Source organism: Homo sapiens, chromosome 7 (assembly GCF_000001405.40).
Source record: "Homo sapiens chromosome 7, GRCh38.p14 Primary Assembly".
NCBI classification, from domain to species: domain Eukaryota; kingdom Metazoa; phylum Chordata; class Mammalia; order Primates; family Hominidae; genus Homo; species Homo sapiens.
Window position 1 is genome coordinate 95,596,587 of NC_000007.14, and position 15,377 is coordinate 95,611,963.

The window sequence follows — 15,377 nt, forward strand, 5'->3', positions numbered from 1 at the left end:
AGTCACTGGAACTTGGAAACGCGTCCTGAACTCCAGGTCGCGCCAATCAGATCAGAGAAAGAACTATGGGCTCCGCCCCTCCAGCCGCGGTCATCACAGAATGGCCTGGCACGGTGACCACGGAGTGCCCTGGCACCGGTGCCCGCGGCTGTGACGGAAAAAGGGTGGGAAGAACAGGGAAGAGGAAGCAGAAACAGGTATCTGGGGCAACGTGGGCTTAAGATTAGCCTCTTGGGACGGGGCTCCGAGTCGCGTGGGCTGGGGTCCCGCCCAGGCTCGCCCTTGTTTACAACTCGGAGGCTGTCTCAATGTCAAGTACTCCTGGCCACAAACTGTTTCCAAGAGTTTGGACTCCGCGTGCTCATTGGTCCTTGCTCAGAGCAGGGCTTTTACAGTAGCCAACAAGCTGCGTTCAAAAGTATGGGCTTCTCTGCCACTGGACAGAGAGAAAGGAATAAACAACCTAAAGACCTGCGCCCCCACCCCCACCGCCCCCTTTTCTTCAGAAGAGACCGGCACATGGCAGGAACTGTACGTTCCTTTTGCTGAGACTTGAGGGGCTGCCCAGATACATTTACTTTTTCCTGTGGTAATAAAAGGCCATCAATTCGTTCTTCTCCGGCAACACATTCTTTCCGTTAGGTTTAGTTCTGTTAATTAAAAACAAAATTAAAAAGGGATCAATTTGTCAGTTTGCCTTACCTTTTGCGGTGATCAGAGAATTTGTTCACTCTGCCCTGTACGAAATGTCCTTACTCCAAATCTTTACCTAAGACATTCCATTCTACCCTCAAATGTCTGGCACAAGCTGTCTGCTGCAAAAGGTCTTCCTTGATTACTTCTCCTCACTTCTTCCAAATAAGGCCTTGGTCTTTCATGGTACTATTCTATAGCTATTTATGTTTTTATATTATCCCTCTCTGACTCCCCCCTTTCCTGAAAGAGATCAGGGTAGGGACCCTGTCTGATGCAGCTTTGTGATTCCTACTTTTTCACTACTCAATATTTATTAAATTAATGACAGTGGTTGAGACACATTACCCTGTCATACTAACCTCCTTTTCCTCTCCCGACACTCTAAAAGGACTAGGGAATGAAGCCACCGTGTTTGGGAAAGTTGGGAGTAAGAGAGTTGGTTACAAATGTAATAGAATGGGAATTTATGAGGTGTTAAAAATGATAGTTTGTTATAAAAAACCTTTTTGGCCTCCTCCCCCTGCGTTTATTTTATTTTAATTAATTAATTAATTACTTTATTTATTGAGACAGAGTCACACTGTCTCCCAGGCTGGAGTGCAGTGGTGCCATCTCGGCTCACTGCAACCTCGGCCTCCCAGGTTCAAGCGATTCTGCTGCCTCAGTCTTCTGAGTAGCTGGGATCACAGGCACACGCCACCACACTCAGCTAATTTTTTCTATTTTTGGTGAAGATGGGGTTTCTCCATGTTGGCCAGGCTGGTCTCAAACTCCTGACCTCAAGTGATCCACCCACCTCGGTCTCCCATAGTGCTGGGATTACAGGAGTGAGCCATTGCGCCCAGCCTGCCCTGCATTTATAAGCAGAACGGGCAACTCTGAAAGTCATGAGTGATCCTAGGCTCTGCTGTCATCCTTTGCCCTCTTCGTCTAGGAGACTGCATTAAATCACAGGACAGATTTCCAATTCTATCTCTAGCACAAACTTTCTTCCAAGAGCCAGATTCTCCTATTCAATTGCCTATTTGGTTTCTCCATTTGGATGTCTAATAGGTATCAATTTTGCTTCTCTAAAATCAACACCATTATGAGGGATCTGAAACAGTCCTGGCAAACCCTGTGTCAGTTATGTGGCCTGTTTGGAGGCACCATATTAGCTCTCCTACTATTTCTCCCATTGTCTATACATTACCTATAGATGGTCGAGAATTTGAGACTTCCTGTTATGACCAAATATTTTTTTCAGACCTTTGAGAAACAGCTATGTGAAGACATGCAATATTTATGATCTTCCAATGAAGAGGATGGGGCCTGGGTTCTTAGAGAATATTCAAGGATGATCCAAGTATAGACTCTAGCAGTTGCACTTGAGTGGGACAGAAAAACAAAAAAACCAAAAACACAACAGCTCAAGCACTTATCTTAAGCTGAAACAGCTGTGGGAATATGGGCAAGTTCCAAATTGCATCTCCACTTGTAGACAGGTTTTGATGCCACTATTATTTATATTTTTGTACTTGGAATCCTTTATTAAATATTTGCATAGCTTGATGCAGCAACGAAATGTGTTCAAGTAGCCAAAAAACTGAATAAGACTCTCTTTGATGAAGCAAGTAAATTTAAGGTAAAAATCCCTTCTTTTTCTTAGATTGGGTCTTAAGAACATAAGTAAAAGTAAAGCATGCATTTGCTTTTCTCACTGTATATGGAACCTGGAATAAGCAAAAATATATATTACAAAGAATTATACTCTGATTTTCAGAGGAAAGGCAATGGAAATTATGCATTACAGGCAAGTCTAATTTAGGAAAGTCCCATGTCCCTAAGTACATTGATTGCCCAGCCTAGCTTACCCAGCACTACTATTCTATGTGCTGTGGGCTGATTAAAGATCAGGTGAAATCATATGATGTTCACAGAGATGACCTAGGGCTAAATGTGAACTGAGGTTGCCAAAATTTTGTCTCTATGTCATCCCTTCTAATAATATTTATGAAGTTACTCTCACAGTGCATTGCATTCTTCTGTGTCATTTCTGTATGATGGGAACTGTTATTATAATTGGCAGCATTCATGATAGCTGGCCTAGAAAGGTCAGGTCAAGTTGTTTACCCAGTTGGCTAAGATGCTATGTATTACCATGATTAGAGAGTGACCTGGGAAAAGAGTGGCACTTCTCTTCTCAGGTTGAACACAAATCTTGGAGGTGATCCAGTTGGGACAGAGGTGAAGCAAAAATATTATTTGGGGGCAATGGATATGACAAATCCATGCATTCATTTGAGTAAAAGTAAACCATGAGAAGACTATTAAATGACTAATGCTAAGGAATAGAAGAAGTAATCAAAGCTGTTCCCTTGCATACAATGCTGAACATCCCTGCTTGAGATACCTGGTTCCTAAAATTTTCAGTGGCACCTTACCTAGCATTAAATAAGTTCTGTCCAGCTTGCCTGGAAAAAATCTAATAACAAAAGGCCACGGGTAGAACTTTGAGAATGCAAGTCACACTTTTTCCAGAGGGTGGGGGATGGCCAATTTGATAAAATCCATCAGATCCCTTAAAGGGAAGTCTATACAATTTTTCCACCTCAGGATCGTATTCCAAGGAAGCAATTTAAAATGCCCGTAACAGGAACTCTGAAGACATGATGGAAAGATTAACAGACTTGACCATAGAATATTAAAGTTAAAATATGAACAGCAGACTTGGAGAACATATCTACAGAATACGTAATAGACAAATGATGATTTAAGAGATGGCTGTTTCAGTAGGGAACCATTCGGTCATGATCTATTCCCTCATGGAGATGATAGACTTGTGGGGGAAATTGGCATTACAAAAGCATATGGCCAATAAGCCTATACATTAAGATAGGACAAGGGCTAAGAAGAAAATGATTGTGAAGAGTGTAATAGGCTGGAACTACCTTAGATTTGGTGGTCAAGGAAGGTCTTCTTGAGTAAACGACAATTAAAAGAAATGGAATGAGCTTCTATTGGGGATGAGAGGGAATACTGGTGAAAGCATATTGGTGAAGCTACTGGGAAAAGCAGGATCTAACCCACAATTTGGTCTCTGATGTTTCTTATAGTTACTGTTAACCTAGAGGATACTAGGTGCCAGGAGCTGGACTGGGTGCCCTGATGGGTGCAAAAGCGTCTGCTCTCATGCACCTCAGATTATTAGCTGATGATGGAAAACAATAACTAATTATTTTTAATTTATTAGATTTTCATTTAATCCTCAGGGCAAAATGCTATAATTAAATGCATTTAAAAAGCAGCCCATAAGAAAGGTTCACGCCATGGGCAATGCTGGTTGTGGTGGTATTGGTGGTAGTAGTGATGGTGCCAGACAGTGGATATGTTAAGGGTGATCTGGGGTGTTTGGAGGAAGAGCTATGTTGGGGATCAGGAAATGCTACTAGAATTGGCATTTGGGATGGCTGTAGAAAGATGAGCAAGATTTTGGCAAATAATTGGTAGACAGTGGGGAAAAATGTCCAAGACTGAGTAAAAGCACAGATGTAGGAGCTAGAGATACATTGGAGAAATAATGACTAGTTTCACCTGGCTGCTGTCTAGAGTACCCTAAGGGCAGAAGGAAAGGAAGATTCAGTTATCTCATGAAAGCCTGAAATGCTAGTATGAGGTCTATGAGATTTCTAGAGTAAGCAGCAGGGAACTGTTGAAGCCTTTAAATCAGGGAGCAATGTGTTTTCTGTTTAAATTTGTTAGCAGTTAAATAATTCTACTAAACTTTATTGAACACCTACTATGTACTAGGCACTGTGATTAATGCTGAGGACATAAAGATGAAGAAGGCATAGTTTGTCTTCAAAGACGGGAGACAGACATGAAAATAATCTAAAAAATAGAATGTGGCATATATGGTATGTGTACTGGGGGGACAAGCAGCAGCCAGGGGAGGCTTCCTTGGAGGAAGTCATAGGTCATCTGACTTATAAAGGTGGAGCAGACATTCATAGGCAGACAAAGAAGAAAGGCATTGGAGCAGTGAGGAGAGGGAACGAAAAGAGCCATCTGTTGGTAGTATCTCTAGGCTTTGTCAAATCTGTTAATGAATAATTTTTTAAAGTTCTCTAATATTCTAAACCTGTGCTGCTGGGAGGAGGTGATTTTATTGATAGAAGCAGGGAAGTCAAAAGCGTCAGGAGAAAAGGATAGGTTGACTAAGGAAAGACCAGTAGTGCAAGTGACGGGTTTGTCTGGGAACACCTTGAGTTAATGAGAAACTGTAGGAGAGTCATGACTAATTACCGTGAAGGGAAGATGAGAACTCAAAGGCTAATAAGCCTTTGCTGAGAAGTGAAGATAGATGGGTGAGATTCTGTCCCCAGTTTCTTTATACAAGGCTCCCCTCTCCTATCAGCCTACAGCTATATCTTACCTTTTTTCTGTGCACAATATTCCTTCTGGGGCAGCTCTTTGTTTCATTCTTGGCCTCCTTTTACTTATCAAGGCCAAAATCTTTTCCCTACATCATAGCAAATGGGTTCATTCTTCTTTTTGCACTTGCGGCTCCAGTCTTATCTGGAAAGAAAAGGAAGCAAATCCTGAAGCTAGCACATCTTGACTTTTTGTGGAAAGAGAAGAATTTTGCATCAGTTTCAAATATAGGTTAAGCATTCTTTTTCCCCCTGCAAGGAATTTCTCAATTGTGTTTGACGTTTGCTTTTATAAAATAGTAAGGAAAGGTGAATAAAGGAAATGAAAAAATAACCGAAGAAGGAAAACAAATGTGTACTATGCCTATAAAAGCATGCTCAAACTAATGAGTGAATGGGAAAATAAAAAGTAAAAAGATAATAAGCCACGATTGTTCTAACAGTAGACTGGCAAATAAAGAAAAGATTGCTAATATCTCCTTGGCAAGGCCTGGGGAAATGAACACTCTCCTATATTATTTGTGGGGGTGAAATTGGCAAATTTTTGTTGGAAGGCAATTGGCAGAATCTATAGAAATTTTAAAGATAGCTACCCCATGTCTCAGCCATTTCACTTCTGGCAACTTATCCTACACTTTTACTGACAGAGAGAATAAAGATAGATGTACAAGATTGTTCATTGTAGCATTACCTGTAAAAACAAAAATTGAAAAGTAACTTGTTTAGCCAATAATCCATAGTGTAAATAAATGATACACCCATGCACTACACTATGCAGCTGATATAATGAATGACATAGATTTTTGTAGCAGCTTTGAGGTCTGCCCTGAGATTTCTTTTAAGGAAGTGCTTGCCGTTAGTTGCAAGGAATGAAATTAGCTAACAGCCTTCAGCTACAGAAACTTTGGGATCCAGACAGCATTTGAGCTGACGCCACGCCCTTCTCAGGCAGCCCCCACAGTGAAGGAGGAGGATCTAGAAGGGCCTGGCCATTTTTCCTCAATGTAGGATCCCTCTGATGGGAATTCTTTGTCTGGAGACCCGAGCTGAGACTTTGTCAGATTGGCATCTCTGTCCCTGCTCAATGCTGCTTTCCATGCTCCCTTTTCTATCACAGACATCATAGCCTGAAATCTTTCCACACCCAATACTGCTTCCTATACCCCTTAGCCTTTCCTGATCTCATTGAGGTTACCATTTTACTTTCCTTCGTTCTTCTTATGTCTTTTCTTCCCCTCTTATCCAGCATGGACTCCATGAACCAACATTATAATTAGGCTCTTGGGAAAACCCTTAATTCTCTCTCTCTCTGTTACATTCACTTGGCAAATCTAATTAAAACTACTCTAGTTAAACCCACTAAGCCTTAGTTAAAACCATTCTAAATATATGGCCTGATGCGGTGGCTCATGCCTGTAATCCCAGCACTTTGGGAGGCCGAGAAAGGTGTATCACGAGGTCAAGAGTTCAAGACCAGCATGGCCAAGATGGTGAAACTCCGTCTCTACTAAAAATACACAAATTAGCTGGGCGTGGTGGCACCCGCCTATAATCCCAGCTACTCGGGAGGCTGAGGCAGAGAATTGCTTAAACCCAGGGGGCAGAGGTTGCAGTGAGCCAAGATCACACCGCTGCACTCCAGCCTGGGTGACAGAGCGAGACTCTGTCTAAAAAAAAAAAAAAAAATTCTACATATAGAGAGTGGTTACAAATTTCAATCCATAAGTGTCAAGTGTACATGTGTTGATATTTTCTTTTCTTTTGATTTCCTGTAAGTCAGTATAATGTCTATTAAAGGCCTTTTGGTTAATGTGGGATTTTACTGTTCTTTTCCCCTGGAGTGGCATCTATTTTCCCAGGAGTGTATATAGGCCCAAGTTATCAGGGAAAGTAGACAAGTAGCCATGCTAGCTTCCATCGAGATGATTCCTATCAAATCTAGTCCTAGATTATTGGTTCGTGCAGATTGCCACTCCATCAGGTCTCATTCCCATCCAAAAGACCCATTTGCGCCTGGCTCTCTTTGTGGCCTCTGGTTATTCTTGGATCCAAGGACAGCATTCCATTTTTCTGTACCTGAAATATACTGAACCATAGTCTCATACCCCATCTACCTTAGTGCCCCCTCTGTTGGGACTGTAATACATTGGACTACAGGAAACTCTACAAGGCTGTCACAGGCCTGTCTGCCTAAATCCTTCATGAGGCCATTTCTATTCCTGCTATTTTCTAAGGTCTTGGCATAGGGAATGAGTCTCAAAAGTGTAGTCCTTGAGGGGATTTGTAGCATAGTGAAACTACAATAAATCACATCAGGTTTCTCACTATTGCCTCTTGAACTAGAAGAGACTCTCTTGTTATAGGGGTGCAGAAGAGAATAAAAACTGGAGGAGACTTGACAGTAGCCCAGATGAGCCCCAAAAGGGGGTTAGTGGGTGCATCACAGAAACCATATACAGGTTTTGTGGATCTGAGAAAAAGGAAAACCTACATCTCAATTCCTCAGTAAAGCAGATTTCTCAAAACTTGTATAAGTATTTTTGGCTCCTTCTGTGAGTCATGGTCCAGTTGCCCAAATTGGGGAGAGGATCTTGAGATTATTAGAAATATTGGTGGAAAACACACGTGGTTAATATTTTAAATATTATATGCACAAACATATATACAAATCTATGCATAAGGAAAATGTATCAGATTATCCATAGTGGTTAATTTTGGGCAATGGAATTACCAGTATTTATATTTGCATTTGAAATGAGTTTTCAAATGATAAGCCATGAAATATGTGTTACTTCTTAATTGTAAAGAAAATAAATGTTATTCCAAAAGTTGAAATGAAAATAGATGTAGCAAGAGAACAGACAGAGGAAGTTGCCAAATATCTGTCCAAAATAGGCTTTTCACTGACTTGGAAGGCAAAATTGGGACCAGGAAATGGGTCAGCAGCCCTCCTGCCTTCTATTTCTTTTTTTATTTTTTTTAATGATACTTTAAGTTCTAGGGTACATGTGCACAATGTGCAGGTTTGTTACATATGTATACATGTGCCATGTTGGTGTGCCGCACCCATTAACTCGTCATTTACATTAGGTATTTCTCCTAATGCTATCCCTTCCCCCTCCTCCCAACCCACGACAAGCCCTGGTGTGTGATGTTCTCCACCCTGTGTCCAAGTGTTCTCATTGTTCACTTCCCAACTATGAGCAAGAACATGCGGTGTTTGGTTTTCTGTCCTTGCAATAGTTTGCTCAGAATGATGGTTTCCGGCTTCATCCATGTCCCTACAAAGGAAATGAACTCATCCTTTTTTATGGCTGCATAGTATTCCATGGTGTATATGTGCCACATTTTCTTAATCCAGTCTATCATTGATGGACATTTGGGTTGGTTCCAAGTCTTTGCTACTGTGAATAGTGCCTCAATAAACATGTGTGCATGTGTCTTTATAGTAGCATGATTCATAATCCTTTGGGTATATACCCAGTAATGGGATGGCTGGGTCAAGTGGTATTTCTAGTTCTAGATCCTTGAGGAATTGCTGAGAAGTGACAGTATGCTGGCAGCCCTCACTTGCTCTCAGTGCTTCCTCGGCCTGGGCGCCCACTCTGGCCGTGCTTGAGAAGCCCTTCAGCCTGCTGCTGCACTATGGGAGCCCCTCTCTGGGCTGGCCGAGGTCGGAGCCAGCTCCCTCTGCTTGCAGGGAGGTGTGGAGGGAGAGGCACAGGCGGGAACCGGGGCTGCACGCAACTCTCATGGGCCAGCATGAGTTCTGAGTGGACGTGGGCACGGTGGGCCCCGCACTCGGAGCAGCCGGCTCGTGCTGCCAGCCCCGGGCAGTGAGGGGCTTAGCACCTAGGCCAGCAGCTGCAGAAGGTGCGCTGGGTCCCCTGACAAGCGCCACCCCCTGCTCCACAGCACCCGGTCCCATCGACCGCCCAAGGACTGAGGAGTGTGGGCACATGGCGTGGGACTGGCAGGCAGCTCTGACTGCAGCCCCCATGTGGGATCCACTAGGTGAAGCCAGCTGGGCTCCTGAGTCTAGTGGGGACTTGGAGAACCTTTATGTCTAGCTAAGGGATTGTAGATACACCAATCAGCACTCTGTGTATAGCTCAAGGTTTGTGAATGCACCAATCAGCACTCTGTATCTGGCTAATCTGGTGGGGATTTGGAGAACCCTTATGTCTAGATAACGGATTGTAAATACACCAATCAGCACCCTGTGTCTAGCTCAAGGTTTGTAAATGCACCAATCAGTGTTCTGTGTCTAGCTAATCTAGTGGGGACTTGGAGAACTTCTGTGTCTAGCTCAGAGATTGTAAATGCACCAATCAGCACCCTGTCAAAACGGACCAATCAGCTCTCTGTAAAATGGATCAATCAGCAGGATGTGGGTGGAGCCAGATAAGGGAATAAAAGCAGGCTGCCTGAGCTGGCAGTGGCAACCTGTTCGTGGAAGCTTTGTTCTTTTGCTCTTTGCAATAAATCTTGCTGCTGCTCACTCTTTGGGTCCGCACTGCCTTTATGAGCTGTAATACTCACCGCGAAGGTCTGCAGGTTCACTCCTGAGGCCAGCGAGACCACGAACCCAGAGAGAGGAATGAACAACTCCAGACAGGAGGAACGAACAACTCCAGAAGCGCCGCCTTAAGAGCTGTAACACTCACCGCGAAGGTCTGCAGCTTCACTCCTGAAGCCAGCGAGACCACGAACCCACCAGAAGGAAGAAACTCCAAACATGTCCGAACATCAGAAGGAACAAACTCCAGACACATCACCTTTATGAACTGTAACACTCACCGCAAGGGTCTGCGGCTTCGTTCTTTAAGTCAGTGAGACAAAGAACCCACCAATTCCAGACACATCGCCATACTGTTTTCCACAATGGTTAAACTAGTTTACACTCCCACCAAAAGTGTAAAAGTGTTCCTATTTCTCCACATCCTCTCCAGCACCTGTCATTTCCTTACTTCTTAATGATTGCCATTCTAACTGGTGTGAGATGGTATCTCATTGTGGTTTTGATTTGCATTTCTCTGATGGCCAGTGATGGTGAGCATTTTTTCATGTGTCTGTTGGCTGCATAAATGTCTCCTTTTGAGAAGTGTCTGTTCATATCCTTTGCCCACTTTTTGATGGGGTTGTTTGATTTTTTTCTTGTAAATTTGTTTAAGTTCTTTGTAGATTCTGCATATTAGCCCTTTGTCAGATGGGTAGATTGCAAAAATTTCCCCCTATTCTGTAGGTTATCTGTTCACTCTGATGGTAGAGAAGACCTTAAATGACCTGATGGAGCTGAAAACCATGGCGAGAACTTCCTGCCTTCGATTTCTCACAAGCTCGGGCATACCACGAGGCTTGGAGACTCAAAACCTGAAGAGCCTGCAATCAGATTTCTCCCTTACTATTCCTGCTCATTGTCTTCTGTGGACTAATACTGAACATGAAACTTTGCTTACAGTTTTGTGGCCTGTTCCTTTCCTCTGATTGCTGATCATTGCATGAATTTCCTGAGATTATCACTGAATAGGACCTTTCTTTTTCCTGTATCCTCTACTACACACACTGAGTTCAAATAGAATTATTTTACTTGGAAAACTCCAGGTTTTGCTAAGTTCCAGCCTTGGTTTGTGTAGCACTGGTTGGCTGCCTTAGACTAATTTTTTGGGGGTGTCAGATAGTAAAAGGAGCACAATCAAGCACCAGGTCATCTGAAAGACAAATTTTAGACGTCACTTTCTTTTGTGATTTTGTTGCTTAACCCAGTGCAGGGGCAGTCAAAGCTGTATCACCATTGCATTCACTGTCTAGGTAAAAATGGGAAAATTCAGTCAGTTATACTAATATTCCTTACTACTTGCAATTTATGTTCACTGGCCTATTGGTATGAGCAATGCATTGTACATTACATATTTGGCAGTAAAAGGACAGATACCCAGATGTCATACTAAAATTTCTGCATTTGTTTGAAAATACTAGTTTAAGCAATTACATGTTATGCAAGTGGTTAGTCCTTCCCTCTCCAGCTTGGCTGCCACCAGTAATAATGGATCATAACATCTTCTCCTGTGTGATCTGATGCGGCCTTGGGATTCGTCCCAACGCAGGACTCCAGAGATCAGTGGATCAGTGAATTATGTTTGGGAGATGCAACCCCTGTTGTTACTGGGCTGGGGGCCCAAGCAGCTGCTGGTGGGGTGTTCTGCCCTGCAGCAGCACCCTACCTCCACCCTCCCCTTTACATTTAGAAGAACTGTCCTTTAGTGAGACTGTCAATGGAAAACATGAAAATCATTCATTTAATCCAACATTTTCAATCGCAGAGGAAAAACAAGCAGAAGAGTTAAGTCACCAGAGTCATACAGCTGGTAGGAAAAATGGGTTCTCTAAATCTCAGTTTAAACAGAAATCCTTGTCACACTCTTCTGGGGATTGAGAAGCGTAAGATTTTTTTTTTTTTTTTTAATTGCCTTTCTGAAACTTTAGAAGAATACCTATTTGCCCTGTTGGCCAAAACCAGGCAACTGTGTGAAACAGTTGAATGCTAAAACAAACTAAACAGATGCTGGAAACTCAACCGTTTGTTTCTTGAACAAAATTGATTTTACCTGATGTCCTCTTGAGCTCAGTTAGACTTTGCCAGAGAGAAAACGAGACTGTCTGCAACTTTAACAATAATCACACAGACACATACTTCTTTCCCCCTTTAGTTTCCCATTTTGAAAATAACTCGAGGGCCTGACAAATGCTGAGTTTGGGCAACATGGCTGTGTTCTTGATTGAGGAAAGCAGGCCTGCCTGACCGTGTTTCAACAGTCAGTGCAGAATCTCAAAAGGAAGTACAAATAGGAAGGGTTAAGGGTCCTCTTTTTTTGTTCTTTATTCCACCCGTTGCACACTAGGGTTCTCTCACTTCTTCTTTCAAATAGGCTTCTCAAAATGCACTGTGTATTGGAGCAAAGGGAGTGAGGGATTGTTTATTTTTATTTTTAAATAAGAAATGAAACCTATAAATTAATGCCCTAGGGAAAAAAGAAAGTTACTTTCTGCTATGCACAATTTTTACCAACATTGTGTTGGAAGGAAGAAGCAGCTGGCCTGCGGAAGCTAAGCAGATGCTGGGGCTCTCTCGAGCAGGCTAAGTTGGTGAAAGGTCAGTCCCACACCCACAGCCTGGGCGGGACTGCCTGGCTGCAGAGTCAACAAGGGGAAGTTTAGTAGGTGAAGGGTCACTGCTGCCGAGCAGCAATAACTTTCCATGCCTCAGCTCCCAGGCATCTAGTTTCTGTTCATGGAAATAGAGCTCACTAGGGGAAAGGTCGGGGAGACCAAGGCGTCTCTATCATAGCCCTGATCTGACACTGTGTTCTTGCATGAGGCTCAGCTACTCACTGTGTTCTTGCGTGAGTCTCCTGGCTGTTAGGAATTCTGCTGCTCAAGTGGAAAAAACAGATTGCAAAGTACTTCATAGATCACCCTGTACTGAGTATGGCAAACTGATCAACAGCCTACTTACTGCTACATTTATATTATTTAAAATAACTGCCAGGTGAGATTCTTTTCAAAAGTGTATTTCAATAAAGAAACCTGTAGGTTTTCTTATCAATTGCTCTAGAGCAATGATTCCTAATCTTCAGGTAGTTTAATTTGCAACATTGCTGTGAAATCTTTAAAACATGGTGTTTGAAATGACTCCAGGTCAGCAGAGAACTTCTCCATGTTCTAGACAAGTGCTTTTTAGATTGTGGGTTGTAACTAATTAGTGGATCATGAAATCAGTTTAATGAGTCACGAACAGCATTAAAATGAAATAGAATCAAGGGAAAAAAGCATCTTTGTGGTAAGGGCAGTTTTTTTTTTTTTTTTTTTTTTGGTGTCAAATTTTTGTTTCAGGTCTATCTGAATGATGATGTAAGAAGACCACTGTTCTAGATTTTAAGAACAAAAGCTTTGCTGCCTTGAACCCCCAAATAATTGCTCAAATTCAAACTGGTTGTTAGCTTTTTTAAAAGCTCAGCTGATTCCGCAGGATGTTGTGGCTGTGAACTGGGAAGCCTGCCATGCTATTATTTTGAAAAGTGCTGTGCAAACAGTGTTCCTCTCAGATGGTTTCCAGAGTTAGTTCCTTACAAGCATTTCCTCTTGAAACATCGGGAATCTAAATAAAGGTAAATAAATTCCATTTACCAACCCCCAAAGGTAAATTAATTCAAGCAAGAAAGACTTTGGTTGCTCACAAGGCTGGATGAAAACGTGTTTGGTGTAAACTTCATTCAAAGAAAACTGAGCTAGCTAAGAAGGAGCTGTGATAGCCTCTCTTAACTTTGGGATTATGGGGTGGTAAACAGGCTGTCATGAAAATGTCTAGAATCAGCTAGATGGTAGGATTTGTGCTCTGAGAGGATGGGGCATTCCCACTGGAGCAGCTGAGCAACAGCATAGAGGACCATTAAGTTATTATAAGAGAAAGAACCCAGAAATTGTATGGAGAGGACAGTAATGGTGCATGGCTTTAATTTTTGGATGGCCTATTTTTCCCTGTCCTTTCTTCTTCTTTCTTATTTTTCTTTTGATTTTCTTTTAAGTGAGTGCTTCTGAGTTATGCTAATCCTTCCTTGGCTGCTAACGGATATGGTATTTCAGGATGCAATTGGAAAATCTATACCCTACATCAATTTGAAAGGAGATAGGAGGCCATAGAAATATTAGACATATTTAGGACGTCTCTGAATGACTGAGATTTCTACATTTTATCTCAATATTTTGACACAGCCTTTAAGGAAACTCATATTTTTCTTTTGCCTCTACATTGAGGAAGAATAATTAATATAATGTACTCTATCTTTCAGAGAAAGGTGTCTAATGGTCTAGTCTACCAACTTCACTATGCTGATTTATGAAAGAATTGCTGAAACCCAGTGAATAATAGCATTTGCCCTTCTTTCTCAAAAAAGCAGCATTTGCTTTCTTCTGGCAAGGAATAATTAAGCTAATTTCTCCATGAACCTTGGAAAAAGTGGCAACGAATAATGGATTTGTCCCTCAAAGAACATTTCAAGCAAACATCTTATCAGCTACAAATTCATTTGAGGCAGTTCCAGGTCAGCCACAGGCAATTTTTCTCATTAAAATACTGTTTAAACTGTTGTATCCAGATGACACAGGAGACATATCAGACAAACAACACCTGCAAGAAGAATTGGTGAAGTATTGACTTTTCATCAATCAAAAAGTTTACTAAGCAGATGAAAATAATTTGCCTTCACAGTGACATTTTCCTGACGTCTTGCTAGTACTTAAAGGCATTGTTTTTTCTTTAACACCCAAACTTTAATTACCAGAAAAGGTTAGCATCAAAACAAAGGACATGTTGGTAATTTAGAGGCCATATCAGAAAAATAAATTCATTTTGGTTTGAATGAATTTTTTGTCTTGTCTCCTTCTCCCCCTTTGGCCACATCCCCCTCCCCCACATGACCACGCTTTCCTGTGTTCATGGTCATTCTGTTAACAATGTATAGATTTGGAGATTTCTTTCTAGTTTTATAAGTTTTTCTAAGTTTTATACGTCTTATCACTAAGTGCAACTATTCAGTTTAAAAAAAGAAGGAGTATTTTGTAGCAGAGAAGTATGAGTTGAGGACGTAGGAATCCTGTTTTACATTTCTTTTGCTATTTACTCACTGAAAGCCCTTGGGGGAAAATTATTTCATCTCCCTACATCTCAGCTTCCATACTGACAAAAATTTTATTGTTCTAGATGACCTCTAGGGTGCATTCCACTTTTCAAATCTCCTTGGTTGCTCATTATTGATTTTAAAATTCTCACAGAATGAGTCTGAATAATTGTTGCATTTCCCTTATTGAGGAAGTATCTTTGATTAGAGTTCATTTAGCATAAACTCCTTCTCCAAGTGGGACATCCTTACAGCATCCCAAACCAACAACCCTCTCATTGCTGCTGGGATACTTCAGTTGGCACAGTGCTCCCTGACTAGTAAGGAACTTTATTTCCTCCTGGTGCAGAAAGAATTGTTATTATTTCTTTATGCTAAAACATTGACTTCACTCTGCCTGTCTCATTTTTTTCTAGTTCTGCTCTCTGGAAGAACTTGAATTTAACCCCTTGTAGTTTCTTCATCTAACATTCAGTAATTTTGGCTATCTCATAGCCAAACTTCTAGCTTCCAAGTTGTGCCTTGATTTCCTTTTGGGAACACCCCTGTTGTGTTTTGTCTTGGAAGAGGAAGTGTTTACCTCCCATAAAAG

General features: G+C 41.8%; 1 long non-coding RNA gene across 1 annotated transcript, besides 2 other annotated features; it reads left to right on the plus strand.

The window, feature by feature from the left end:
- On the plus strand, window positions 93-14,531 carry PDK4-AS1 (PDK4 antisense RNA 1). The gene is made up of 3 exons (XR_001745287.3): window positions 93-197; window positions 10,354-13,276; window positions 13,958-14,531. It is a non-coding gene; the product is annotated as a PDK4 antisense RNA 1 (long non-coding RNA).
- Window positions 10,724-14,560: an enhancer, noted in NCBI's record as "VISTA enhancer hs1831". NCBI's record gives its function as "enhancer in: heart[10/15] | other[11/15]" and the evidence as "EXISTENCE:transgenic organism evidence [ECO:0001131][PMID:17130149]".
- Window positions 11,816-13,015: an enhancer, noted in NCBI's record as "CDK7 strongly-dependent group 2 enhancer chr7:95237714-95238913 (GRCh37/hg19 assembly coordinates)". NCBI's record gives its function as "activates an origin of replication core promoter dependent on BRD2, BRD4, P300/CBP, MED14 and CDK7 cofactors, with strong dependence on CDK7, by STARR-seq in HCT116 cells {active_cell/tissue: HCT116}" and the evidence as "EXISTENCE:reporter gene assay evidence [ECO:0000049][PMID:35650434]".